General features: G+C 41.1%; 1 protein-coding gene and 1 pseudogene across 8 annotated transcripts in view; both read left to right on the top strand.

The window, feature by feature from the left end:
* RNF157 (ring finger protein 157) overlaps nucleotides 1-27063 on the top strand; it is a 98020-nt gene that overhangs the window by 1214 nt on the left and 69743 nt on the right. For 6 of the 8 annotated variants that reach the window (NM_001330501.2, XM_047435287.1, NM_052916.3 and 3 more), the window contains exon 2: nucleotides 26798-26916. In NM_001330501.2, coding sequence (NP_001317430.1) covers nucleotides 26798-26916 — 119 coding nt within the window. Of the gene's footprint in view, nucleotides 1-26797; nucleotides 26917-27063 lie in introns of those variants that run through there. The other 2 variants (XM_047435288.1, XM_017024120.3) reach the window with 2 other exon arrangements.
* ATF4P3 (activating transcription factor 4 pseudogene 3) lies at nucleotides 12194-13615 on the top strand (annotated as a pseudogene).

The following is a 27063-nucleotide window of genomic DNA, read 5'->3' as shown; positions in this document are numbered from 1 at the left end:
TTCAGTTATGTGAGCACCGGCCAGTATGAATTGCATGACCTAGCCGGTGTTTACTTTTAATTGCAAGTAGTTTTATTTTAATTAATTACTTTTAATTTTATTCTCAAGACTTCTGAGGATGAATGGCTGCGACATTCTGTCTGCTTAGGACCCGATGGAGATTTTGGTGATTTCGGAATGAGGTGTCAGAATTGGAGCAGAGCCTCGTCTCTTTTTGGTAGAATAGAGACATACTGAGATGAGCTGGTTTCTCAGCAGTGTGTCCAGTGTCTGCCAGGTGAAAGCAGGGGCCAGACGATGAACCTGCCCGCATCCCTGCAGAGTGTCTGCCAGAGCTGTGTTTCTCACTGCTTTTGTACCAAAGAATGAATCCTTGCAAAGATGAATATGGTGAAGAATTGTTTTAGAAAGGTCTAAGATAAAGCTGTGGGTCGTTAGTATTTTAATAAAGCTCTGACTGATTATGACTACATAAAATCAACGCTAACCAAGGCATAGATTTTGTTTTTTAATAGACAAAAATATTCTTAGGGCGGCATGAGGAAAACTTTTTAAAATAGACAAAAATATGCAGCAGTATTTGTGGGCTCTGTTTTTCTTAAACCACATGGCTTTTATTGATCAAAATATGGAGCATACTTTGCTGAGCTTGGAATTTTCAATAGTGTTTGCTGCCTCAGGAAAGTATTCACCGCTCTTTCATATGTGGGACTTAACATAGGTAAACCTCTGGAAGGCTGTTCCCCAAAGCATATTTGTACAAGTATGAATCTTGGGTGATGATAATAAAAAGACAATAGACCAAACCAAAACTTTTGTTAATTAGCACACTCAATAAATAATCCTCTCCTCTCTACCAGTTTTAAAAGTTTAACTGTAAAACTGTAATTCATGTTAAATCAGAAGTTATACATGAGAGAAGTCTTTATAGCAAGTGGACCACATTATTTCTGTTGAAGCTAAAACATAGAAAATAGAATCAGAACATCCTGTCTCTGTCAGCAAACCTTTGTGTATTTGAAACCTTATGTGAGCTTGCATATATGCTCTAGACGGAGGCATCGCCTTTCTTCTGATCTTTGAATTGACCTGGCTCTTTATGGGATTACAGTATTAGTCCTGAAAGGAACCGTTGACAGAGTTTGGCCATGACCACCATGCCTAGCTAATGTTTAATTTTTTTTTTTTTTTTTTGAGTCATCGTCTCTCTCTGTCACGCCCAGGCTGGAATGAAGTGGTGCAATATTGGCTTACTGCAACCTCTGCCTCTAGGGTTCAAGCAATTCTCCCGCCTCAGTCTCCCAAGTAGCTGGGATTACAGGTGTTTGCCACCACACCCGGCTAATTGTTTGTATTTTTAGTGGAGATGGGGTTTCACCATATTGGCCAGGCAAGTCTTGAACTCCTGACCTCTCAGGTGATCCGCCTGCCTCGGCCTCCCAAAGTGCTGGGATTACGGGTGTGAGCTACCACGCCCAGGCAAGTTTTTTGTAGAGACACTCTCTCACTATGTTGCCCAGGCTGGTCTTGAACTCGTGGTCTCAAGCAATCCTCCCGCCTTGGCCTCCCATTCATTTCACTGATAAGAAAATGGAGACCCAGAGAAATGAATTGGTATGGCCAGGGTCTCTCAGCCAGTTAGTGTTCTTCCTACTATACTGTCTGCCTCCACCTCTCAAGGAATTGGGTTTTGAACTTGTACTCAAAAAACAAGACTTAAAACAATCATTCCATGATTATGGAATGAAGGCTATTTCGTGTCATAATTGAAGTCCCTATAGAGGAATCAACCTGGGTTGATTTTGAGAAGTCTCCTTATCCTGAGTACTAACAGTGGAACAAAGCAAGTGGCAGAGTCAGCTTTCTCCAGATGACATACCTTGTAGTTTGAGTGTTAAGTTGAGACCACTATCTGGCTCGCTGGAAAGCGGCTAGACCTGCACTGCCGGTGGAACAGTTGTTTCGGAAAGAAGCACCATCATCTGTCCTTGTAATGACGGTCACAGTGTCCAGCTGAAATTGCTTTTTTCTTAGTATATTTAATGGAACTTCTTAGTTTTGTATGCACATTGAAACAAACATTTAAATCCTATCAAGAATGGCAGATTTCAAGTTGAGACTTGGGTTTGTAGCTTTTTTCTATCCTTAAATAGAGGTAGATAGAAATAAATAGCCTAAATTATTTAGAATTATTTATTTTTGAATAGGTAATATAGTCACACGGTTCAAACTTTAAAAGAATGAAAACGTGTACAGTGAAAGCCTTGTTCTCACCGCTGTTGTCCATCCACCTGGTTCTCCTTCCTCCCTCTAAACCTCCCATCCCATGTAACCACTTTTGGTTTCTTTGGAATTCTTTTAGAGTTTCTTGTGTAAATGCAAGCATAGCATGCTATTAGACTGTTCTACACCTTGCTCTGTTTGCTTTCAGAGATATTGGAGATCTTTTTATATTGTCTCATATTTGATAAGTTTCTTTGTGCTTTTTAACAACTATATAGTATTCCTCTGCATGCATATGCCATCTTTTTTTTTACATAGTCTCCTGTTGATAAACATCTGTGAGTTGTTTTTTCAGTATCTTACTATTGCAAACAGTGCAACAATGAATAATGTTATGCATTAGGTGATTTTTAGATTTATTAATAATTGTGTGAATATTAATCATTTAAGTAATAGAAAGTATGGTGGGAGTTTCTGTATAGCATTTCTACATTAGCATAGAAAGCAATTTAGAGCACGGTTCTACTGTATTTGGATGTACTTTTGTAATTTTTGAGTTAGAAGTCATACATGCTTCTCTAAGATCTTTGCATCTTTAAAAGCCCAAGATCATTTGTTTAGCAAAGAAAGGTATGGCTTTGCGGAGATGGTTGCTTTTATGAAGCTCATCTTTTGACAGAAGTATCCACGTTGATAAAAGTCCACATTGATAAAAGCCTGTTTTCTCTATCCAGGAAGAAATAGGCATAATATAAAGACAGTTTAATTTATATAAAGCAGTACCTCATAAATCTAGTTTGTTTCCCTCCACATACTTGGGCAAGTTGGAAAATAGGAATAATTTGTTTTGCTGAAGTCTTTAAGAAGTAAACCTACTACAGAAATTCAGAATGGTAATCAGAGTCCTGACCAGCTAGCTTGGTTAAACCCGGGTTTTTGCTTTTAAGGCCTTCAACTGACTAGAGGCCCACCCACATAATCAAGGATAATCTCCTTTACTTAAAGTCAACTGATTGTAGATTTTAAAAAATTAAATAATTTATTTTTAGAGACAGGGTCTCACTCTGGCATCCAGGCTGGAGTGCAGTGGTGTTATCAAAGCTCACTGTAACCTCAAAGTCCTGGGCTCAAGCGATCTTCCTGCCTCAGCCTCCTCAGTAGCTGGGATTACAGGCACATACCACCATGCCTGGCTAATGTTTAAAGTTTTTGTAGAGACAGTATCTCACTGTGTTGCCCAGGCTGGTCTTGAACTCCTGGTCTCAAGCAGTCCTCCCACCTCGGGGTCCCAAAGCAGTGGGATTACAGAAGTGATCTACCGTACCCAGCCATAGATGTATCACATCTGTCTACATCATCATTCTCCAAATTTTTGTTATTTTAGAGTACACATATTCTTGTCAAATGGGTCTTTCCTATTGCAAGAACAGTTTTTAAAGGCATGGATAATAAGTCTTTGTCGAATAACTATAAAAGTTTTAATGTAAGTTTCTCCTAGCTTTAGGAGTATCAATTTAATATTAGATTTGAAACCATACACTTAAAAATATGCAATTTACGGCTGGGCGCAGTGGCTCACGCCTGTAATCCCAGCACTTTGGGAGGCCGAGGCGGGCAGATCACGAGGTCAGGAGATCAAGACCATCCTGGCTAACATGGTGAAACCCCGTCTCTACTAAAAATACAAAAAAATTAGCCAGGCATGGTGACAGAAGCCTGTAGTCCCAACTACTCGGGAGGCTGAGGCAGGAGAATGATGTGAACCCAGGAGGCGGAGCTTGCAGTGAGCCGAGATCGTGCCACTGCACTCCAGCCTGGGCGACAGAGCGAGACTCCGTCTCAAAAAAAAAAAAAAAAGTAACCTACTACAAAATAAGGAATTATTTGGTTGGCACAGTTTGACACTTTAAAATATCCAAAACAATTTTGAAAAAGGAACAAAGTTGGAGGACTATCGCTACCCTATTTTAAAAGTTACTATGCATATAATTACTATAATGCCACAGTAATCAAGATAGTGTGGTATTGGCACAATGAAGAGCATATAGATCAGTGGAACAGAGTTATGAACCAGAAATCCTTACATTTATTTTCGGTTGATTTTGACAAAAGTACCGAGACAATTGAATGGGGAAAGGATAGTGGTTTCAACAAATGATGCTGGGATGAGCAAAAAAGAAAATGAACTCAGACCTATTCTTTACATCACCAAAATTAACTCAAAATGGATTATAGAGTTAAAAGAGAGAACTCAGAGAATGGGAGAAATTTTTATAAATCATAGGTATGACAAGAATTTGTATCTAGAATATATAAGGAACTCATATGCTCAATAATAAAAAGACAACCCAATTAAAAATGGTCACAGCACTTGAATAGACATTTCTCCAAAAAAGATATACAGTGGACAATAAGCACTTGAAGAGATGATCATTATTAACTTTCAAGGAAATACAAATCAAAACTACAATTAGATACCACTTCACACCCACTAGGATGGCTATAATTTTAAAAAATGATAATGACGAGTACTGGTAAGGATATGGAGAGAGCGAAACCCTCATACCCTGCCGGTGTGAATGTAAAATGGGGCAGCCACTTTGGAAAACGGTTTGACAGTTTCTCAGATGGCTAGTTACTAGATGACTCAGCAGTTCTACTCCTAGGTATACGCTCAAGAAAAATGAAGAAAATACATTCACATAAAAACTTGCACATGAATTACTCATAATAGCTAAAATGTGGAAATAACCCAAATGTTCATCAACCGATGAATAGAACTACTGATAAATAAAATATGGTAAGTCTGCACAATAGAATATTATTTGGCAATAAAAAGGAATGAAGATTTGATATGTGCTACAACCTGGATGAACCTTGAAAATGTTATACTCAGTGAAATAAGCCAGGTGCAAAAGGCCATCTATTGAATAATCTCATTTATAAGAAATGCCCAGAAGAGGCAAATCCACAGAGACAGAAAGTAGATTAGTGGCAGTGGCGCAGTGGCTGTGCCTGCGGCTGCCAGAGGCTGAGGAGAGGGAGAAATGAGCTGTGACTGCTAATGGATTTCTTTTTGGGATAATGGCAGTGTTCTAAAATTAGATAGTGGTGAATAGTTGTATAACACGGTCAATATACTAAAAACCATTGGATTGTACACACTAAATAGGTGAATTCTGTGGTATATAAATTGTATCTCCACAAAGCTATTTTCAAAATGGGGCTGGGTATGGTGACTCATGCCTGTAATCCCAGCACTTTGGGAGGCCAAGGCTGAAGGATGGCTTAAGCCCAGGAGTTCAAGAGCAGCCTGGGCAACAGAGTGAGACCCTGTCTCTACAAAAATTGTTTTTAAAAATTACCTGGGCATGGTGGCATGATATCAGCTACTCGGCAGGTTGAGGCAGAAGGATTGCTTTGCCTAGGATTTCAAGGCTGCAGTGAGCTATGATTGTGCCACTGCGCTTCAGCCTGGGTGACAGATTGAGACCCTGTCACTAATAAAAAAATAAAAATGGATCATAGACATAAATGCAAAAACAATGAAACCCCTAAAAGAAGACATAGGAGAAAAATGTTATTTGATTTGGATTGGGCGAAGAGTTCTTAGATGTGACACCAAAAGCAAAATCCATACAAGTAAAAAATAATAATAAATTGGATTTCTTCGAAATTAAAAACATTACCACCTCAAAAGACAGTAAAAAGTTGAAAAGACAAGCCACTTTCTGAAAGAAAATATTTGCAAATCACATAAAGGATGTGTATCAATATTAAGAACTCTTACAACTCAATATTATGGAGACAAACCATCCAATTAAAAAATGTGCAAGAGGCCAGGCACGGTGGCTCACGCCTGTAATCCCAGCACTTTGGGAGGCTGAGGCAGGTGGGTCATGAGGTCAGGAGATCGAGACCATCCTGGCTAACATGGTGAAACCCTGTCTCTGCTAAAAATACAAAAAATTAGCTGGGCGTGGTGGCCGGTACCTGTAGTCACAGCTACTCAGGAGGCTGAGACAGGAGAATCACTTGAACCCAGGAGGCAGAGGTTGCAGTGAGCGGAGACTGGGCCACTGCACTCCATCCTGGGTGACAGAGCAAGACTGTGTCTCAAAAAAAAAAAATATGCGAGATTTCAATAGATACTTCACTGAAAAAGATGTAGGAATGGCTGATGAACACATGGAAAGATACTCAACATCAGCAGCCATTAGGGAAATATAATTAAAACTGCAATGAGATACCATTTCACACCTATTAGAATTAGGATAACTAAAATAGAAAAGGCAGACAGTGTCAAATGTTGAGAATGCAGAGGAATTGGAATCTTTATGAAGTGTTATGGGAAATGTAAAATAGTACAGCCACTTTGGAAAGTTGGACAGTGTCTTAAACAGTGGAACATAAATTTGCCTTATGATTCAGCAGTTCCACTCCTATGAATCTGTCCAAAAAAATGAAAACATATGTACACTCAAAGACATGGATGCAGATGTTCATAGCGGCATTGCTCATAATAGCCAAGAAACTGGAAATAATCCAAGTGTACATCAGCTGGTGAATGGATAAACAAAATCCATTGTTTATTTCATGGTACAGTCATATAATGAAACACTGCTCAGCAATTTAATTTTTTGTTTGTTTCTTTGCTTTTTTTTTTTAGAGACAGAGTCTTGCTCTAAGTGCTCAGGCTGGAGTGCAGTGGTGCGATCATAGCTCCCTGCAGCGTCGACCTACTGGGCTCAGGCACTCCTCCAGCCTCAGCCTCCCAAGTAGCTGGGACTACAGGCACATGCCACCACTCCCATCTAATTTTTTAAATTTATGTTTTGTAAAGACGGGGTCCCACTACGTTGCCCTGGCTGGTCTCGAACTCCTAGTCTTGAGCCATCCTTCAGCCTCGGCCTCTCAAAGTGCAGGAATTACAGGCATGAGACAACACGCCTGGCCATGTTCAACAATTTAAAGGGATAAACTACTGATACATGCTATACAACATGATTTAACTTCAAAAACATTATGCTAAGGGAAAGAAACTAGATGCAAGACTATATATCGTATGAGTTTGTTTATATGAAATGGCTAGAAGAAGCACATTTATAGAGATAGAAAGCAGAATAGTGTTTGCCTAAGGCTGGTAATAAGAGTAGGAATTAACTGTAAATGGGCATGATGGAACATTTTGGGGTAATGGAAATGTTTTCAGCTGGATTGTGATGATGGTTGCCAAAATCATTGAATTGTTCAATGGATGAATTTTATGCCATGTTTATTATACTTCAATAAAGCTCTTAAAAATAACAGCACAGAGGGGTTTGTGCCTTTTGGATAAAATAAAGACAAGAGCTTGATGATTGAAAGGGTGGGGTTCTTGGTAGCAAAAGGCATTGAAGGTAGACTTTTTTTTTTCTTTTTTAAATAAGTGGAGATGGGGTCTCACTATATTACCCAGGCTGATCTTCTACTCCTGGGCTCAAGCAATCCTTCCACTTTGGGAGGCCAAGGCCAGAAGATCACCTGAGGTTAGGAGTTTGAGACCAGCCCAGTCAACGTGGTGAGATCTCATCTCTACAAAAAATTTTAAAAATTAGCCAGGCATGGTGGTGGGCCTCAAAAGACAGTAAAAAGTTGAGAAGACAAGCCACTTTCTGAAAGAAAATATTTGCAAATCACATAAAGGATGTGTATCAATATTAAGAACTCTTACAACTCAATATTATAGAGACAAACCACCCAATTAAAAAATGTGCAAGAGGCCGGGCACGGTGGCTCACGCCTGTAATCTGAGCACTTTGGGAGGCCGAGGCGGGCGGATCATGAGGTCAGGAGATCGAGACCATCCTGGCTAACACGGTGAAACCCTGTCTCTGCTAAAAATACAAAAAATTAGCTGGGCGTTGTGGCCGGTGCCTGTAGTCACAGCTGCTTGGGAGGCTGAGACAGGAGAATCACTTGAACCCAGGAGGCAGAGGTAGTCCCAGCTACTCAGAAGGCACAAACAAGAGGATCGCCTCAGCCCAGGAGGTCAAGGCTGCAGTGGACTATGATCTGGTCACTGCACTCTAGCCTGAGTGATAGAGTGAGACCCTAACTTTAAAAAAGAAAAAAAAAAAAAGATTAAATCTTTTAATCTAAGAAAAGTCTCTCTCTCTCTCTTTCTCTCTTTCTCTTTCTCTCTCTCTCTCTCTCTCTTTTTTTTTTTTTTTTTTTTTTTAGATGGAGTCTTGTTCTTTCGCCCAGGCTGGAGTACAATAGCGTGATCCTGGCTCATTGCAACCTCCGTCTCCTGGGTTCAAGCGATTCTCCTGCCCCAGCCTCCCGAGTAGCTGGGATTGCAGGTGCCTGCCACCATGCCTGGCTAATTTTTGTATTTTTAGTAGAGATGTGGTTTCACCATGTTGGTCAGGCTGGTCTCAAACTCCTGACCTCGTGATCCACCCACCTCAGCCTCCCAAAATGCTGGGATTATAGGTGTGAGCCACCATGCCCGGCTCAGTATCTCCTTTTAAGAAATATGAGTGATTGGGAGGAGAGACTGGAAGCAGAGAGATTTGGTAGGAAACTCTTAGAAGATAACCCATTGTAATTGAACTTGGAAAAGGCTAAGGTCTTGACTCAGGATGCTTTGCATAGAGCACATGTTCAGTGTTTTTGTTTCTTTGATGACTGACATTTTTAGCCTGGGTGACCAGAGAAGTGAGATACCATTGACAGAAATTGGAATTCTGGAGCAGAAACTGCTTTTGAAGTGAGTCCTAAATGTCGGCTGGTTGCTTTACTTTGCCTCAAGATCCGGGGAAATTAGACAGAAACCCACTTATTTCCCAAAACCACAGAATAGAGGATTTTAATGCCCCCTCAAAGGTTTCTGTGGATTGCCAAAGGACTCACATTATGATCATTTTGACTCCCATGATCCAGTTTGCTGTCTTTGCCCCACTGCAGATGAGACATCAGTCCATTCTTCAGTTTCTCCAAAAAAATCCATTCACATGATATATTCAGAATATGGATTTTACTAATGATTTGTGGGGAATGATGAGTTGGGGTGTACCTTATAGAAATGCACACAACTCCAGAGGAGTCATAAGCATGGTTACCCTAAACAGTACTTTAAAGTTTTACTGACTCTTTAAGTTCTCCAACCCCAGCCTTTCTTTGTCCTAATGTCTCCTTCCTCTTATCTTTCCTTTTTTTCTTTTTTTGACTCTTCACTCTTATATCTTAGAAGAAAAACAAATTACAAGCAGTTTAGGTTCCATCAAGGAGCAACAGAAGCACCCATACGTACCCTTAGTGTGCCACTCTCCATTCTAAGTAGCTCATTAAGGTGCATCCTCCAAAAAGATAGTGCCTTCCCTAAGAGGAGTTCTGGTGCCAGCTCTTCAGATAAAGTGCCCTTGATTCCTCCTCCTTCCAGAAGAAAAGGTTATTGAGTTTGAGGCAAAGATGGGCTATCTGGATGAAAAGATATGGCAGGTGATTGAAGATTTGGACTGAAATGCTGAAGATCAGAGACAAAGGTTTGGGAGTTGAGTATGGGAAGGGAGAAGCCAAAATTTATCAGTTGCCCACTGGGCTTAGCCAGCTTCTATACACATGTGATCTTACTTGATCTCAACAATAATCTGTTGAAAGAAGTATTATTGTCTCTATTTTACAAATAAACCAAAGCTCAAAAAGTTTAAATAATTTGTCCTGGGTCACAAAGCTGATAGGCAGCAGCATCAGGATAAAATCCAGCTCTCTTGTAAGTCAAAACCTTTGCTTCGATTCTGTGAAGAAGAGAGAAAGTGTGAAGGAAGAGGAGAGGGCTGAACCCTTAAGATATGTCCATCTGTATGGTGAAAAGTGAAACAAGTGAGAGGCAGAAGAGACACAAACTATCCAGGGTTTTGAGGAAAGAGAGCCTCAGAAATGAGTGTTGAATTCTGCAGAGGTAAATGAAGTGTGAGACAAGACTTGGTTTGGTTGGTGTTCCAGAGAACAGTTTTAGTAGAGGGGTGGAAACTATTGTAAATATTTGAGGAATTACTGGATGTGTGGTGTGAAAGGACAGGATGAATCGATGGATGGGTGAGTGGGTGGGTGAGTGAATTTTTTTTTTTGTATTATTATTATTATTTTGAAATGGAGTCTCACTCTGTCGCCCAGGCTGGAGTCCAATGGCGCAGTCTCAGCTCACTGCAACCTCTGCCTCCCAGGTTCAGGTGATTCTCCGCCTGCCTCAGCCTCCCGAGTAGCTGGGATTACAGGCGCCCACCACCACGCCCGGCTAAGTTTGTATTTTAGTAGAGAGGGGGTTTCACCATGTTGGCCAGGCTGGTCTCGAACTCCTGACCTCAGGTGATTCATCTGCCTCAGCCTCCCAAAGTGCTGGGATTACAGGTGTGAGCCACTGTGCCCAGCCCAAGTGACTGGTTAGTAAGACATGGCAGATGGAACTTTTTTGGTATTTGTTATTTGAGTTGGGGAGACCAGTATATGCTTGTAGGATGAGGTAAGTAAGAAGCCAGTGGAGAGAGAGGAACGCAAGTGTTAAACAAGAAGGATGGTTACAGATGTGGTCTCAGGTGAGGTAGAGGCAGTTGGGAATGAGAACTCAGGTGAAGAAGTTAACCTTGGAAAGGAGGAATGCCTCCTTGAGACTGGAAGAAAGTATGGGTAGAAATATGGGGAAGTTGTTAGGTGTTGAAACTATTGTAATGCATAAGGGTTCTGAGAGCACCACAAGGAAGAAGGGTACAGGGTTGGGGTTGGGACTTGAGAATGTGGGAAGGGTTTTAGACGCATTGATGTGTGCCTTTCTCTAAATGCTGTGAAGCTACCGTTGTTCAGTCTGTGTTGTACTGGTCCAGAATAGAAGAGTCCAGATCTAAGTATATTTAGCATAAGAATAGAATTTAAATTAGTGGGGGGAAATGGAATATTCCATAAATGGTTTTTTTTATTTCTTTTTAGAAAAAAACCCCACAAAGTCTACATCTATGAATTCCATTTGTAAAAAACAGGAAGCAACATAAACTGTAAAGAGAATGTTTATCAGTAGGGAAACAGTTAATTAAATCTGGACATTCAATGGGAATACATTATAATGGTTAAGAGCACAGGTTCTGGAATAAATATAGCTAGATTTGGGGACCTGACACTACCTCTTTTTTTAAATTTTTTTTGAGATGGAGTTTCGCTCTTGTTGCCCAGGCTGGAGTGCAATGGGGCGATCTTGGCTCACCGCAACCTCTGCCTCCCGGGTTCAAGCGATTCTCCTGCCTGAGCCTCCTGAGTAGCTGGGACTACAGGCCTGCATCACCACGCCCGGCTAATTTTGTATTTTTGGTAGAGACAGGGTTTCTCCATGTTGGTCAGGCTGGTCTCCAACTCTCGACCTCAGGTGATCCGCCCACCTCGGCCTCCCAAACTGCTGGGATTACAGGCGTGAGCCACCATGCCGGGCCACTACCTCTTACTATCTGTGTGACCTTGGACAGATTATTTAACCTCTGTGCATTAGTTTCCTCTTCTATAAAATGAAAAGAAAATAGCAACATCTTCAAAGGGTTGTGAAGAATAACCCGTGTAGTACTTGCTAGTACAGTGCTGTTATAGAGTCAGTCCTCTGAAGAGATTATAGGCCAGGCGCAGTGACTCACGCCTGTAATCCCAGCAGTTTGGGAAGCTGAGGTGGGCGGATCACCTGAGGTCAGGAGTTCAAGACCAGCCTGGCCAACATGGTAAAACCCTGTCTCTACTAAAAATACAAAAATTAGCTGAGTGTGGTGGCAGGTGCCTGTAGTCCCAGATACTTGGGAGGCTGAGGCAGGAGAATCTCTTGAACCCAGGAAGCAGAGGTTGCAGTGAGCCAAGATCGTGTCATTCATTGCACTCCAGCCTAGGCGACAAGAGTGAGACTCCCGTCTCAAAAAAAAAAAAAAACAAAAAAAGAGGTTATTAATATTATTTGGCATTTCTACTTTGCCTGCCCACAGATGTAGTTTTTTCCGCACGTGCACGCCTTCCCTCCTCCCCGCCCTCAGGGTCCACGGCCACCATGGCATATTAGGGGCAGCAGTGCCTGCGGCAGCATTGGCCTTTGCAGCGGCGGCAGCAGCACCAGGCTCTGCAGCGGCACCCCCCAGCGGCTTAAGCCATGGCGCTTCCCACGGCATTCAGCAGCAGCATTGCTGTAACCGACAAAGACACCTTCGAATTAAGCACATTACTCGATTCCAGCAAAGCACCGCAACATGACCGAAATGAGCTTCCTGAGCAACGAGGTGTTGGTGGGGGACTTGATGTCCCCCTTCGACCAGTCGGGTTTGGGGGCTGAAGAAAGCATAGGTCTCTTAGATGACTACGTGGAGGTGGCCAAGCACTTCAAACCTCATGGGTTCTCCAGCGACAAGGCTAAGGCGGGCTCCTCCGAATGGCTGACTGTGGATGGGTTGGTCAGTCCCTCCAACAACAGCAAGGAGGATGCCTTCTCTGGGACACATTGGATGTTGGAGAAAATGGATTTGAAGGAGTTCGACTTTGGTGCCCTGTTGGGTATAGATGACCTGGAAACCATGCCAGATGACCTTTTGACCACGTTGGATGACACTTGTAATCTCTTTGCCCCCCTAGTCCAGGAGACTAATAAGGTGCCCCCCCAGATGGTGAACCCAATTGGCCATCTCCCAGAAAGTTTAACAAAACCCGACCAGGTTGCCCCCTTCACCTTCTTGCAACTTCTTCCCCTTTCCCCAGGGGTCCAGTCCTCCACTCCAGATCATTCCTTTAGTTTAGAGCTGGGCAGTGAAGTGGATATCACTGAAGAAGATAGGAAGCCGGACTCCACTGCTTACGTTGCCATGATCCCTCAGTGCATAAAGGAGGAAGACACCCCTTCAGATAATGATAGTGGCATCTGTATGAGCCCAGAGTCCTATCTGGGGTCTCCTCAGCATAGCCCCTCTACCAGGGGCTCTCCAAATAGGAGCCTCCCATCTCCAGGTGTTCTCTGTGGGTCTGCCCACCCCAAACCTTACGATCCTCCTGGAGAGAAGATGGTAGCAGCAAAAGTAAAGGGTGAGAAACTGGATAAGAAGCTGAAAAAAATGGAGCAAAACAAGACAGCAGCCACTAGGTACCGCCAGAAGAAGAGGGCGGAGCAGGAGGCTCTCACTGGCGAGTGCAAAGAGCTGGAAAAGAAGAACGAGGCTCTAAAAGAGAGGGCAGATTCCCTGGCCAAGGAGATCCAGTACCTGAAAGATTTGATAGAAGAGGTCCGCAAGGCAAGGGGGAAGAAAAGGGTCCCCTAGTTGAGGGTAGGTCAGGAGTGTCAACGTGCTTGTACATAGAGTGTCTGCTGTAGCTGTGTGTTCCAATAAATTATTTTGTAGGGAAAAAAATACATATTATTTGGCCACTAAAAACAATGAGGTCATGCCATAAATACAGACATAGATGCCTACAGTATATTAGGTGAAAGCAACTTGCAGATCAATATGTGCATTCAATTATGCAGACAATATGTGCATTCAAATAGTCCATTCAATTAAAAAAAATAATAGAACAGGAAGACCTGGACATATTTGTATATGTATAAAAAAATCTGGAAGGCCACACCCAATTGTGAATAGTGGAGTTACTTCTTATGGAGTAGGGTTAAATTTTAAATTATTAACTTATATATACTAATTTTTTTGGCAAAGGACATGTATTGTGTATTTCTATTTCTTTTTCTTTTTGTGGAGATGGAGTCTTGCTATGTTGCCCAGGCTGGTTTGAACTCCTGGGCTCAAGTGATCCTCCCACCTCAGCCTCCCAAAGTGCTGGGATTACAGTTGTGAGCCATTGCACCTAACATGTAATATTTTTGTTTTTATTTTTATATTTTTGAGATGGAGGCTCACTCTGTTGCCTAGGCTGGAGTGCAGTAGTGCAATCTTGGCTCACTGCAGCCTCTGCCTCCCAGGTTCAAGCGATTCTTCTGCCTCAGCCTCCCAAGTAGCTGGGATTACAGATGCCCGCCACCATACCCGGCTAATTTTTGTGTTTTTGGTAGAGACAGGGTTTCACCATGTTGGCCAGGTTGGTCTCGAACTCCTGACCTCAAGTGATCTGCCCACCTTGGCCTCCCAAAGTGCTGGGATTACAGGCATGAGCCACTGCTCCCAGCCCTAATTTTTTAAATAATTAAAAATATGCTCTAGGGCAAGTTTGTACAACCCACGCCCCATGGGCTGGGCTACATGTGGCCCAGGATGGCTTTGAATGCAGCGCAACACAAATTAGTAAACTTTCTTAAAACATTATGAGTTTTTTTGCAGTTTCTTTCTTTTTTTTTTTTAAAGCTTATCAGCTATCAGTAGTGTTAGTGTATTTCAAGTGTGGCGTAAGACCATTCTTCTTTTTCCAGTGTGGCCAAGGGAAGTCAAAAGATTAGGCACCCTTGCTCTAGGGGGAAAACTTAAAAATGAAGAACAAAAGCAGCACTGTAGCATTATAGAATTGAGCTGAATATTTAGAGGTGTTTGCAGTTTTCTAGTTTTCTTCTTATTTTTGTGATCTAAAGCTTATTGTTATTGAAATGTCATGTAGATGAAGATTTTTTCAAATATATGAAAATTTACTAGGATTCCCATAGCCTATAGATTCCCATAGAATTGTAGAAGAATAGAAAATGGGTTTAATTGTCCTTTATTATATGTTGTTATAATTCATAGTGGTTTGCTAACAAATGTCACAATATCTTATTGAGGCAGACATAATTTAGGGAACCCATTGCTCAATATTTAATTTCACTGTGGTATTAGGAATATGTCCCAAAAACTTAAATTCAAAATGATTAGGCAAATTATTTAATACAATGAATTTTAAATGAGATTTTTCTTTTTTGTTCACATTATAAGGAACAAATAGTTGATTTTCCTTTGTTGAAGTCAATTTATTGATTTTGGGCTTTCGCTTCAAAAATTGCCATTGATAGGGTAGGGCTCCCTCAGTGTAATGCAAGTTCCCTTTGCATTGCCCTGAGTTCTTGTAGAGCCAGAAAGTGCTGATAGTGACTAAGATAAAGTCAGATGTTAAGGAGTAGTGTCTGGAGCTGCTCTGGCCAGTGTGGGCCTTGCCCTGTGTTATTATACTTACTTCTTTCTGATGGTGCTCTGCAAAGTTGTATATGAATTGTGTATGTGTTGAAAACACTGCATGTTCTAACATTTTTTACTGAGGTTCAGAGTTATTTTGCTTTTGTTTCCAAAAATATAAAGTTGGGCAGTGCAGTCTGTTTGGTTTTTTGTTTCATTATATTCCATATTTTATTCTGAACAGGGAGGCTGTACGTTGAACTTAGTGGTTCTTCCACTAGATATGTAAAACACAATATTTAACGTTTATGTGGAAAACAAAATGTTTTTGAGACTAAGGGGTTTGATTTACAATTCCTGTTTGTCAGAAAGAAAAAAATTTGGGTTTTATATGGTTAAGCATTTTATCATCAATTCATTATCCCTCTTTCTTTTTTCCTATTACAGTACAGGAAAAGGAAGAGTCAGGTATTGTTTATGTGTAAAGAACCTTGGCCGAGCATGGTGGCCCATGCCTGTAATCCCAGCACTTTGGGAGGCCGAGGCGGATGGATCACCTGAGGTCAGGAGTTCGAGACCAGTCTGGCCAACATGGTGAAACCCCGTCTCTACTAAAAATACAAAAATTAGCCAGGTTTGGTGGCACATGCCTGTAATCCCAGCTACTTGCAAGGCTGAGGCAGAAGAATCACTTGAACCTGGGAGGCGGATGTTGCAGCGAGCAGAGATTGGACTACTGCACTCCAGCCTGGGTGACAGAGTGAGACTACGTCTCAAAAAAAAAAAAAAAAGGCCGGGTGCGGTGGCTCACCCCTGTAATCCCAGCACTTTGGGAGGCCCAGGTGGGCGGATCACGAGGTCAGGAGATCAAAACCATCCTGGCTAACACGGTGAAACCCCGTCTCTACTAAAAATACAAAAAATTAGCCAGGCATGGTGGCGGGCGCCTGTAGTCCCAGCTACTCGGAAGGCTGAGGCAGGAGAACGGCGTGAACCCAGGAGGCGGAGCTTGCAGTGAGCCAGGATCGGGCCTCTGCACTCCAACCTGGGCAACAGAGCGAGACTCTGTCTCAAAAAAAAAAAAAGAACCTTAAACATTTGGCTCGTCTTCCACATATATATGAAATAATAGACATTACATTTACACACACACACAGTTGTTTGATTTCATTTCTCTCACACACATGCTATTCTTTGCCACTGTCAGATGGAGAGACAGGTGCAGGGTTGAGATGTGGAGTTAGCCAGACCTTCGGTTCAAACCTTGCATCTCTCGGTCTCTGCTGTTTCTTAACTGTGGGACGTTGTGTGAGTCACTGAACTCTTCTAATCCTTAGTTTCCTCAACTGAAAAATGGACGTAAGAGAATATCTTACAGATGAAAATCAGGGATAATTTTGGTAAAGTTCTGTATCTTGCTTACGATACATGCTTGGAAGTTAAAATAAAAATTCAAATGACAGCATTATAACCTGACTGTGCCAAATTCTTCCTCCCCATGTGATTTTTTAAAATTGAGGCGAAGTTCACGTAACATAAAATTATCTTAAAGTGAACGACTCAGTGGCATTTTGAACATTCACAGTGTTGCACAATCCACTACCTCTATTCTAGAACTTTTTTTTTTTTTTTTTGAGACGGGGTCTTGCTCTGTCACCCAGGCTGGAGTGCAGTGACACGATCCTCAGCTCACTGCAACTTCTGCCTCCCAGGTTCAAGCTGTTCTTGTGCCTCAGCCTCCCAAGTAGCTGGGATCACAGGCGTGTGCCACTACACCCAGCTCATTTTTGTATTTTTAGTAGAGACGGGGTTGCTTCATGTTGGCCAGGCTGGTCTCGAACTCCTGACCTTAAGTGATCCACCTGCCTCAGCCTCCCAAAAGGTGTGCGCCACTGCGCCCGGCCTCTAGAACATTTTTATCACCTCAAAATAAAACCAATTAAGCAGTTTGTCCCCACTCTCCCCTGCCCCCATCCCCTGGCAATCACCAGTCTACTCTCTCTGTGGATTTACCTATCTGGATATTTCATATACATGGAATCATACTACAGTATGTGACCTTTTGTGTTTGGCTTCTTTGTCTCAGCATACTGTTTTGGAGGTTCATTCATGTTGTAGCATGTATCAGAACTTCACTTCTTTTTATGGCTGAATAATATTCCGTTGTAAGGACATATGTCGGACACATTATACCTCACATTTTGTTTACCCATTTGTTGTTTGACATTTGTTTCCACCTTTTGATTATTATAAATAGTACTTCTGTGAACCCATATGATTTAAACATCTATTATTTCCTTGTATTTTATTTCTTATAGTTATTTTAGAAGAACCAATGAAGGAGCATGAACAATAGCTGGTACCAAGAAAGTCCTGGTTTTTGTTGATTGTATACAGTAAAATATTTGGAAATTAAAGGGTTTAATAAAATAAAGTCTGTACTTTGGATTTTCTGTTGCCATACTTTCCCCCCTTACAATATATTCTTTGAGGAAACCTGGTCATTTTTCTTGTTAAGGTTTTCTGCAGCCTGAGTTTTGCCAGTTGCCTCCTTGAACTCTCATTAATCATGTTCTGTTTTATTCCCTATAAGCTGGTGGTTAACTGGTTTCAGCAGCTTGATCAAGTTCATTTTTTTTAAAGCTTTAAAATTTGAAGCTACTTACTTTGGTAAGACTACTTTGTTGTATTTGCTGTCACTAGCGTGTATCTGGTTGTCTTTTTTGTGGGGGAGAGGTTTGGTAATGGATGATTTATTAATTTATTAAGACTTACATTCTAATCCTATCATTCCTTCTTTGTTTATTAGCTAGAATATTTCTGTAAAGAGAAACTTTCCCTCATCTACCTTTTCTTTTTGTTTTGAAATAGGGTCTCTGTTGCCCAGGCTGGAGTGCAGTGGTGCAAACACGGTTCACTGCAGCCTTGACCTACTGAGTTCAAGTAATTCTCCCGCCTCAGCCTCCTGAATAGCTAGGACCAAGGCCCTTGCCACCAAGCCGGCTAATTTTTTTTTTTTTTTTGAGACAGCATCTCACTTTATTGCCCAGGTCAGAGTACAATGGCGCAATCTCGGCTCACTACAACCTCTGCCTCCCCGGTTCAAGTGATTCTCCTGTTTCAGCCTCCTGAGTAGCTGGGATTAAAGGTGCACACTACCACACCCAGCTAATTTTTGTATTTTTAGTAGAGACAGGGTTTCACCATGTTGGCCAGGCTGGTGTCAAACTCCTGACCTCGTGATCCACCCACCTCGGCCTCCCAAAGTGTTGGGATTACAGGCGTGAGCCACTGCGCCTGGCCCAGCTAACTAAAAAAAAAAAAATAATAAATTTGTAGAGACAGTGTCTTGCCATGTTGCCTCGGCTGGTCTCAAACTTCTGGGCTCAAGGCCTTCCCAAGTGCTGGGATTACAGGTGTGAGCCATGGTACCCGGCCTCCCCTCATCTATTAATTATTCACTCACCCAGAGGTACAGTTCATGTAGGAAAGGCAAGATAAATGCTTGAGGCTTTCCCTTTAATTGCTAGTTTCCAAAATAATGAATTGGTTTACTAGCATCCTTCAAAGGTAACCTTTTTTTTTTTTTTTTTTTAGATATCATTACGAACTCATTGACTTAGACTTATTCCTTGCCCTTATTATCCTGATGAAGCTTAATATATTCCATCTTTGCTCTGCGGGAACCTCTTTAAGTCAGCTCTTGAGTCCCTTGGATATGACCCTAGTAGGTTTAGAGAGCGTCCTTGTTATCTGGTATGACAAGATGTTCTAGTCCCATCTTGTGTATTTCCTGCCACAGACTTGGAATGTGGCCTCCAAAGAGCCCTTGTTCCTGTTAGTGGGGAATGACTTTTGCAGACTTACAGGCTGGATGCTAGCGGCACCCCCTCCTACTTTGTTGGTCTATGTTTCTAGGCCTTTTCAGTGGCCCAAGCTAGGAAACATTGTTTGTAAAGATAAAATACACATCATGCATTTTTATTGATATTTCTAATACAAATTCAGGACTATATGGTTTTTGTTTAACCTTGGCTTTTTTTAACTTTCTCTCTGATTCTCAATACGCTAGGTATGATAAAATTGAAAATCACATAATTACTCATCTGCTTAATGCCACATTCTCGGAAGAAAATACTGTCACCAATAATATGATTACTGTAAACTGTTTGAGATATATTTTTCGCAGTTTTCTTTCCTATTGAGATGTACAGTTAAATTACAGTCTCTTAAAGTTCTTGGGAATAGTTTCTCTTTCTGTAGTTATTCCACTACACACACACCTAGGTTCATTTGTTTCACTTTACTTTTGATTTTTAGGGATTGCTTTACAGAAATTTTAATTTTATAATTATGTAAAATGTTTACATGGTTCCAGTGGTAGATACATAAAGCAATGCGTATTCAAAGAAATCTACCTTCTGTCTGGTCCCTTCTACTTCGTTCCCTCCCTCCTCCTATAGATAATCACTTTAAGATTATTATGATTTATCCTTACATTGCTTGTTTTAAAAATATTAATTAATATGTATATATCTTCATAGCCACTCTTCCTTACACACATGGTAGCATAATATAAATTAAGCCTATTTGTATTTATTGATATGATTGATATGTTTGGCTTAAGGCTGGCCATTTTATGTTATATTTATATGTATATAAATATATGTAAAAATTTATATAGTCTTTATGTAGTCTGTTTTGTTTGCTCTTTTTTTAAGATGTATTTTTTGGATTTAGGAAGGTTTGTATTTTTCTCTAATGGTTACCCTTATTTAATCTTTATATACTGCTGTTAAATTGTTATTATTATTATTTTTGTCTGTTAGTTTCCTACTGTGAATAATATGGATATAACTAGTAACCTCTTCACTCACCTCTCCTCTTTACTCCAGCATTTGAAGTATCTCCTTTGACTCTCACTTACACCTAAAGTTTGTCAGCAAACATATTCTGCTTTTTCTCTGCTATCCATCCCCCTTCTTTATTTTTTGAGAGCTGTACTGTATTTTCTTTGTTTTTATTTTTTATTTTTTTTTATTTTTTTGAGATGGAGTCTTGCTCTGTCACCCAGGCTGGAGTGCCGTGGTGTGATCTTGGCCCACTGCAACCTCCACTTCCCGGGTTCAAGTGATTCTTCTGCCTCAGCCTCCCGAGTAGCTGGGACTACAGACACATGCCATCACTCCCGGCTAATTTTTGTATTTTTAGTAGAGACGAAGTTTCACTATGGTGGACAGGCTGGTCTCAAACTCCTGACCTCAGTTGATCTGCCCACCTTGGCCTCCCAAAGTGCTGGGATTACAGGTGTGAGCCACCATGCCTGGCCTGTTTTTCCTTTATTGAGACAGAGTCTCACTCTGTTGCCCAGGCTGGAGTCCAGGGGTGTGATCATAGCTCACTCCTGCCTTGACCTCCAGCAATCCTCCCACCTTAGCTTCCCGAGTATCTAGGACCACAAGCACATGCCACCATGCCTGGCTAACTTTTTAATTTTTTTATTGTAGAGATGAGGTCTTGCTATGTTGCCCAGGCTGATCTTGAACTTCTGGGCTCAAGCAATCCTCCTGCCTTGGCCTCCCAAAGTACTGGGATTGCAGGCGTGAGCCACTGGGCTTGGCCTGGAAGCTTATTCCTTAGTAGACTCCTCAGATGAGCTCAGGGGCTTTTCTTTCTTTGACTACCTTAGAATGTTACTCCCTTGTCTTCTGACATAAAGTGTTTCTGTTGAAAAGTCTGATGACACCGATTTTCTTCCCCTCTAGAATTTTGACTTTTTGCCTGGGTGCCTTTCTTTCTTTAAAGGTCAGTCATTTTACTGAACTTGTCTTAGTGTTGATCATTCTGGCTCATACCTTTTGGTTTTTTTTCTTGATATTTATGTGTTTATTATTGTGGCAAAAAAACACATAACGTTAAATTTAATCATAGTAACCATTTTTAAGCATTCATTAGTGTTACATATATTCACTCTGTTTTGCAACAGATGTCTAGAACTTTTTTATTTTATAAAACTAAAACTATGTACTTGTTAAACATTAATTTCCCCTTTCTCCTTCCCACTCATACCTTACGGTTTACGTATAATCTTGGAGATATGTGTATGATGTGACTTTTTAAAGCCTGCAAAGAATTCTGAATATGAGTTTTGATTAATAAATTATAGCTCACTAATAATGAAACACTCGAAGTTTATCTACTAGTGACATATGTTTTTTTCCCGTTAGCAAATAGGCAAGGGTGTATTTTAGTTGAGTTCTGCAGTTTATCTGTGAGTGACGTGTTTCTCCTGGTAACAAATAGGCAAAGAAGTACTTTAGTAGAGTTCTTTTCCCCCACCACTGATTTTGAAGCACAGTTCATTGTGTTAAGAAGTAAAAATATGCATAAGCTGTCTAAAAGTCATCTTGTTTGGGGACTGTTGATGTGTTTGGTGTTGGTATCTGATGATCTAGTAGCTATACATAGCTGTGCACCAATTTGTCCCTCTAGAAAGACTGAGCAAGTAGAAAGCTTTATTCAGTCTGAAAAAGGCTGATTTGCTTTTCTCATTTGTCTAAATGAAAGCAAGCTGCTAGAGGGGTTCATTTCAAAGAAAGGAAAAAGCAAATTTTTGGTTGTAAAATGAAATACCAATAAGTAAATTTATTTTTCCTTTTAACAGATGAGGATGGCTGGGCTCGGTGGCTCACACCTGTAATCCCAACACTTTGGGAGGCTGAGGCGGGCAGGTCTCTTGACCCAGGAGTTTGAGACCAGCCTGGCCAACATGGTGAAACTCCATCTCTACAGAAAAACAAAAACAAACAAAAAATAGATGAAGGTTTGGGGAGCTCTTTTTAATTCATACAATCTTGCACATTTTATGCGTCTTCCCCTTAATAACCAAAAGTTTAGAAATTAATATTGCTAAAGAATTATTGAGTGATTGAACAGGTGTTCAAGCTAATTTTAAGTAAAAGTAAGAACAATTTTGCCAACTTTGTAATTTTGAGAAAATCATTCCCAGTTATAAGTATACAGCTTATATAGCTTTTATGGGGTTTTTTGTTTGTTTGTTTGTTTTTTGTTTTTGTTTTTGTTTTTTTTTGACACAGGGTCTTGCTCTTTTACCCAGACTGGAATGTAATGGCGCAGTCATGGCTCACTGCAGGCCTGACCTCCTGGGCTCAAGTGATCCTCCCACCTCAGCCTATTGAGTAGCTGGGACCACAGGCTTGGGCCATCATACCCAGCTAATTTTTTAATTTTTTGTCGAGACAAGGGTCTAATTATAATATATTGTGAACATTTTTAATGTCAGTAGATATAGATTTACAACACCACTTTGAAAGGCTTCATAATACTCTACTGACTGAATATACCATAGTATTATTATTATTATTATTTTTAAATATACAGAGACAGAGCCTCACCATGTTGCCTAGGCTGGTCTTGAGCTCCTGGGCTCAAGTGATCCTCTCACCTTGGCCTCCCAAAGTGCTAGGATTACAGGTGTGAGCCACCACACCCAGACTATTCTTGATTTTAATGCAAGGCAAAACTACAATTAGCTCTACACATCTTTTGTGGTCATTTCTTTTCTTTTAATATTATGGCATAAAAGGGCATTTCTAATCGAACCCTGTTGCCTGCTTTAACTCTTTAGCCCCCAAATCATTAGGGGTCCTCTCTCGCTAGGTTCAATCATGGCCACCTCTAAGCCAATCATCCATGGATTTTTACTGCCCCAGATCCCTCCCCTGAGATCTCACAGGTACTGGAAACTCAGTGGTCCCACACTGAGGTCAACCTAGACAATTCCAGACATCAAACTCTCTTCTCTCCCTTTCTTTTTTCATGATTTGGGCAAGCCATCCATCTGTGTAACATCTTTAACTTTTCCAATTTTACCTAATATATGATAAATGTATAATTCCTGATGCATAGAAAATATATCTTGCTGAAGTTCATCAGTAAATGACTTAAATTATTTGAGATTGCTGCTTCTACTTAAGGCAACTAGGTACCTCCCCTCTCCATAAATTATGCACTTGGAAAATAGGGCTAGCAAGTGCCAGACATAAATAATTGATAATTAAGCTTTCCTAAATGATGAATTCTGCTGTTGTATCACTGTATCAGATGGCTGCCCTTTGTCTTTTTAAGTTTTAATGGGTGACTTTCAGTAGTTCCTCAGTGATTGCTTTGATCTGGGTTGCATTATTACTCTCAAAGAATGTTTTCCTGCTTGTTTAATTCAATAGTTGCCTCACTTTGTGGTGAGTGATTTTATCCACATTGTTTTATTTAATAGATGTTTCTAGACTAAAGCTCCTTGTGTAGAAAGTTTTAAAAATGAATGTTTGGTTCAGTTTTTGCTAGAATTTTCTTCTCTGTCTTCCTTCCTATGGCTTCTCCACAGGCTCAAAGTACTGAATCTCATTTTTTTTTTTTTTTTAGTTTGCTATAAATCTTTTTTTCCTTTTTTCTTTTCTTTTCTTTTTTCTTTCTTTCTTTTTTTTTTCTTAGAGAGGGTCTCACTCTGTCACCCAGGCTGGAGTGCAGTGGCAATCATAGCTCGCTGCAACCTTGAACTCCTGAACTCAAGCGACCCTTCTGCGTCAGCCTTCTGAGTAGCTAGAACTCCAGACGCATGCTACCATGCCCAACTAATTTTTGTATTTTTATTTATTTTTTGTTTTGTTTTTAGTAGAGACAAGGTCTTGCTAAGCTTGCTAAGTTGCCCAAGCTGGTCTCCAACTCCTGGCCTAAAGCAATTCTCCTGCCTCAGCCATCCAGAGTTTTAGGATTACAGGCAAGATCCATCACACCCTGCCTGCTACAAATCTTCAACAAAAATTGCAACTGATTTAGGGAGTTTGTGTATATCCTCAATGTATTATACACAAGCAAGCCTTTTGCCACTTAATAAGTTCCTTGTGTTAATTTCAGAAATGGGGTATATGAGAGTGTTGATAAAGGTATATTATGGGATGTGTCCTTTACTTTGGACAGCTTACCTTCATGGGAGAATTAGATAATAGAAATTAGAGGTAAGCGGCATTCGTTTAATCATCAAACTTAAAATGTATTCCCAGATGTAATTTTCAGCATAACCTAAGCCTCCTTTGGTGACTTCTCAGTTCCATCATATCCTGTCACAGTTCCTTGGTTTGTCCGGATGAGGCTGATGGGAATTTTGGCCCCTGACTGCTGATTTCATTTGGTTATTATATTGCACTGAAAATATTTCTGCCTCCTGGCTGATTAAGAAGGGGCAAAGGGGCCCTGCCATGACTGATGTCCCAGCAGTTCTGGCCATTAGCACTGTTAATGAATTTGAGGTGGAGAGGGTATGTGTGTAGCCTTCTTTCATAGCATTAAATTGTCCCCTTATTTTACACCATAGTCTGTGTAGTAATTGGTAGAGAAAGCCAGGGATAACTGTATTATCTAAATTCGTATTTTCCTGTGAAACAATAATGTTTGCAGCAAGTTAAAGTGTGAAGAACCTTCATCATAGAAGGTTATGGAGGTATAGCAGTAGTGGTGGGTGGGTACTGAGACTTCTGTGTGTAGGTATAAGCTGGCTTATGAAAATCTAGGCAAAGAAATGTGTGCGTCTGCGGATATAGGAAAAAAACTCAGTTTCTCCTATACACTCACAACACAAGCAGCACAGAAAACTTCTGTGACCTCTGGTCAGCAAAATGTGTGGGGATTCTCTCCACCAGCAACCACTCAGTTCTGCAGAGGACACCAGCTGGGTGTCCTCCAATTCATTTCACTTCTGATACTACTTGAAGATAGTGTCCCATCCCACAGGTTGAGGGTGCAATCTCACAAGACTGCCCCCCACTTCTGATGCCCATCGCAAGCCCCAGGTTGTTTTACCTGTGCTTCCAACTAACCAACCAGAAAGCAGGGTTCCCATAACCCCCTCCTTGGGTGTGATTAACTTGCTAGAGGGACTCACAGAACTAGAGAAACACATTTACGAGTTTATTATCAAGGATATTACAAAGGATACAGAGAGAGATACATAGGGCGAGGTTATGTGAGAAGGGGCACAGAGCTTCTATGCCGTCTCTGGGCATGTTACCCTCCAGAAACCTGTAAGTGTTCCCCTGTTTGGAAGCTTTCTGAACCAGTCCTTTGGGTATTTATAGAAGCTTCATTACATAGCATGGTTGATTACATCATTGGACATTGATGATCAACTTAACTTTCATCCCCTCTCCCTTCCTCAGTGGTTGGGGGATGGGCTGAAAGTCCCCACCCTCTAATCCTGCCTTTTCTTTCCAGTGACCAGCCGCCATCCTGAGGCTACCTAGGGGCTGCCAGGCAGTGGTTAATTCATTAGCATATGTAAAGACAAAAAAAAAAGACATCACTTTGGATATTCCAAGCATTTTTTTTTTTTTTTTTTGAGATGGAGTTTTGCTCTGTCACCTAGGCTGGAGTGTAGTGGTGTGATCTTGGCTTACTGCAACCTCTGCCTCCCGGGTTCGAGAGATTCTCCTGCCTCAGCCTCCCAAGTACCTGGGACTTCAGGCGCATGCCACCATGCCTGGCTAATTTTTGTATTTTTAGTAGAGATGGGGTTTCACCGTGTTGGCCAGGCTGGTCTCTAACTCCTGACCTCAAGTGATCCGCCCTCCTCAGCCTCCCAAAGTGCTGGGATTACAGGCATGAGCCACCATGCCGGCCTGGATATTCCAAGGATTTTAAGAGTTGCATTCCAGGAAATAGGGTTGAAGATCAAACATATATTTTACAATATCACAGTGTATGTATATGCCGATACCTGTAGCTGAGATTCTTCAATACATGGAATAACTACTTCAAGTTTAAAGGCAAAAGTCAGGAACCAAAAAATATATATGATCATTAATGTGCATTGTAGAACCTTTTGGTCTTTTGGCTGGAGGTATTTTAAACAGATCATTAGAAGAATTCAGTTAAGAATGTTAAAAGGAAAACAGTGATCTAGTCTACGTTTGGTATCTGGGGTTTTCCCTGCTATGATTTTACTTATTTTGTGCCATTGTCCCAAATCAGGAAAAGAAAACACTCTGGGATTAGAAATTGCTCTAATTATTCATTCAGAGGGTTAACTTTTTTGTTTTTGTTTTTTTGAAACAGAGTCTCACTCTGTCGCCCAGACTGGAGTGTAGTGCTAGGATCTCGGCTCACTGCACTTCTGTTTCCTGGGTTCAAGCCATCCTCCTGCCTCAGCTTCCTGAGTAGCTGGGACTACAGGCATGTGCCACCACACCCGGCTAATTTTTACATTTTTAGTAGAGACAGGGTTTTGCCATGTTGGCCAGGCTGGTCTCGAACTCCTTATCTCAGGCGATCTGTCTGCCTCAGCCTCCCAAAGTGCTGGGATTACAGGTGTGAGCCACCACGCACAGCCCAAAAGGTTAACATTTTAAAAATCAGCTTTTTTTTTTTACTAGATTTAGGTTGACTGTTTTCTGCTTGTTTGATTTTTTTTGTTTGTTCCTCTCTAGGAAGCTATTTTGCCAGCCACTTCATTATGGGAGGAGAGAAGTTTGACTCAACTCATCCTGAAGGTTACCTGTTTGGAGAGAACAGCGATCTGAACTTTCTGGGGAACAGACCAGTTGTGGTATGGCTGTAATCAGTTTACTCCTACTTGGAGCTTAAGTGGCCAATTCAAAAAATGTAACAAAAATAAGTTTGCAGTTGCTTGTTCAGCAGTTTGTAGCTTGGTCTGAGTTGAGAGAGATGCACTAGAAGACAAACTGCAGCCTCC

Source organism: Homo sapiens, chromosome 17 (assembly GCF_000001405.40).
Source record: "Homo sapiens chromosome 17, GRCh38.p14 Primary Assembly".
NCBI classification, from domain to species: domain Eukaryota; kingdom Metazoa; phylum Chordata; class Mammalia; order Primates; family Hominidae; genus Homo; species Homo sapiens.
Note: the sequence above shows the minus strand (reverse complement) of the source record. Positions and strands in the feature narration are given on the sequence as shown.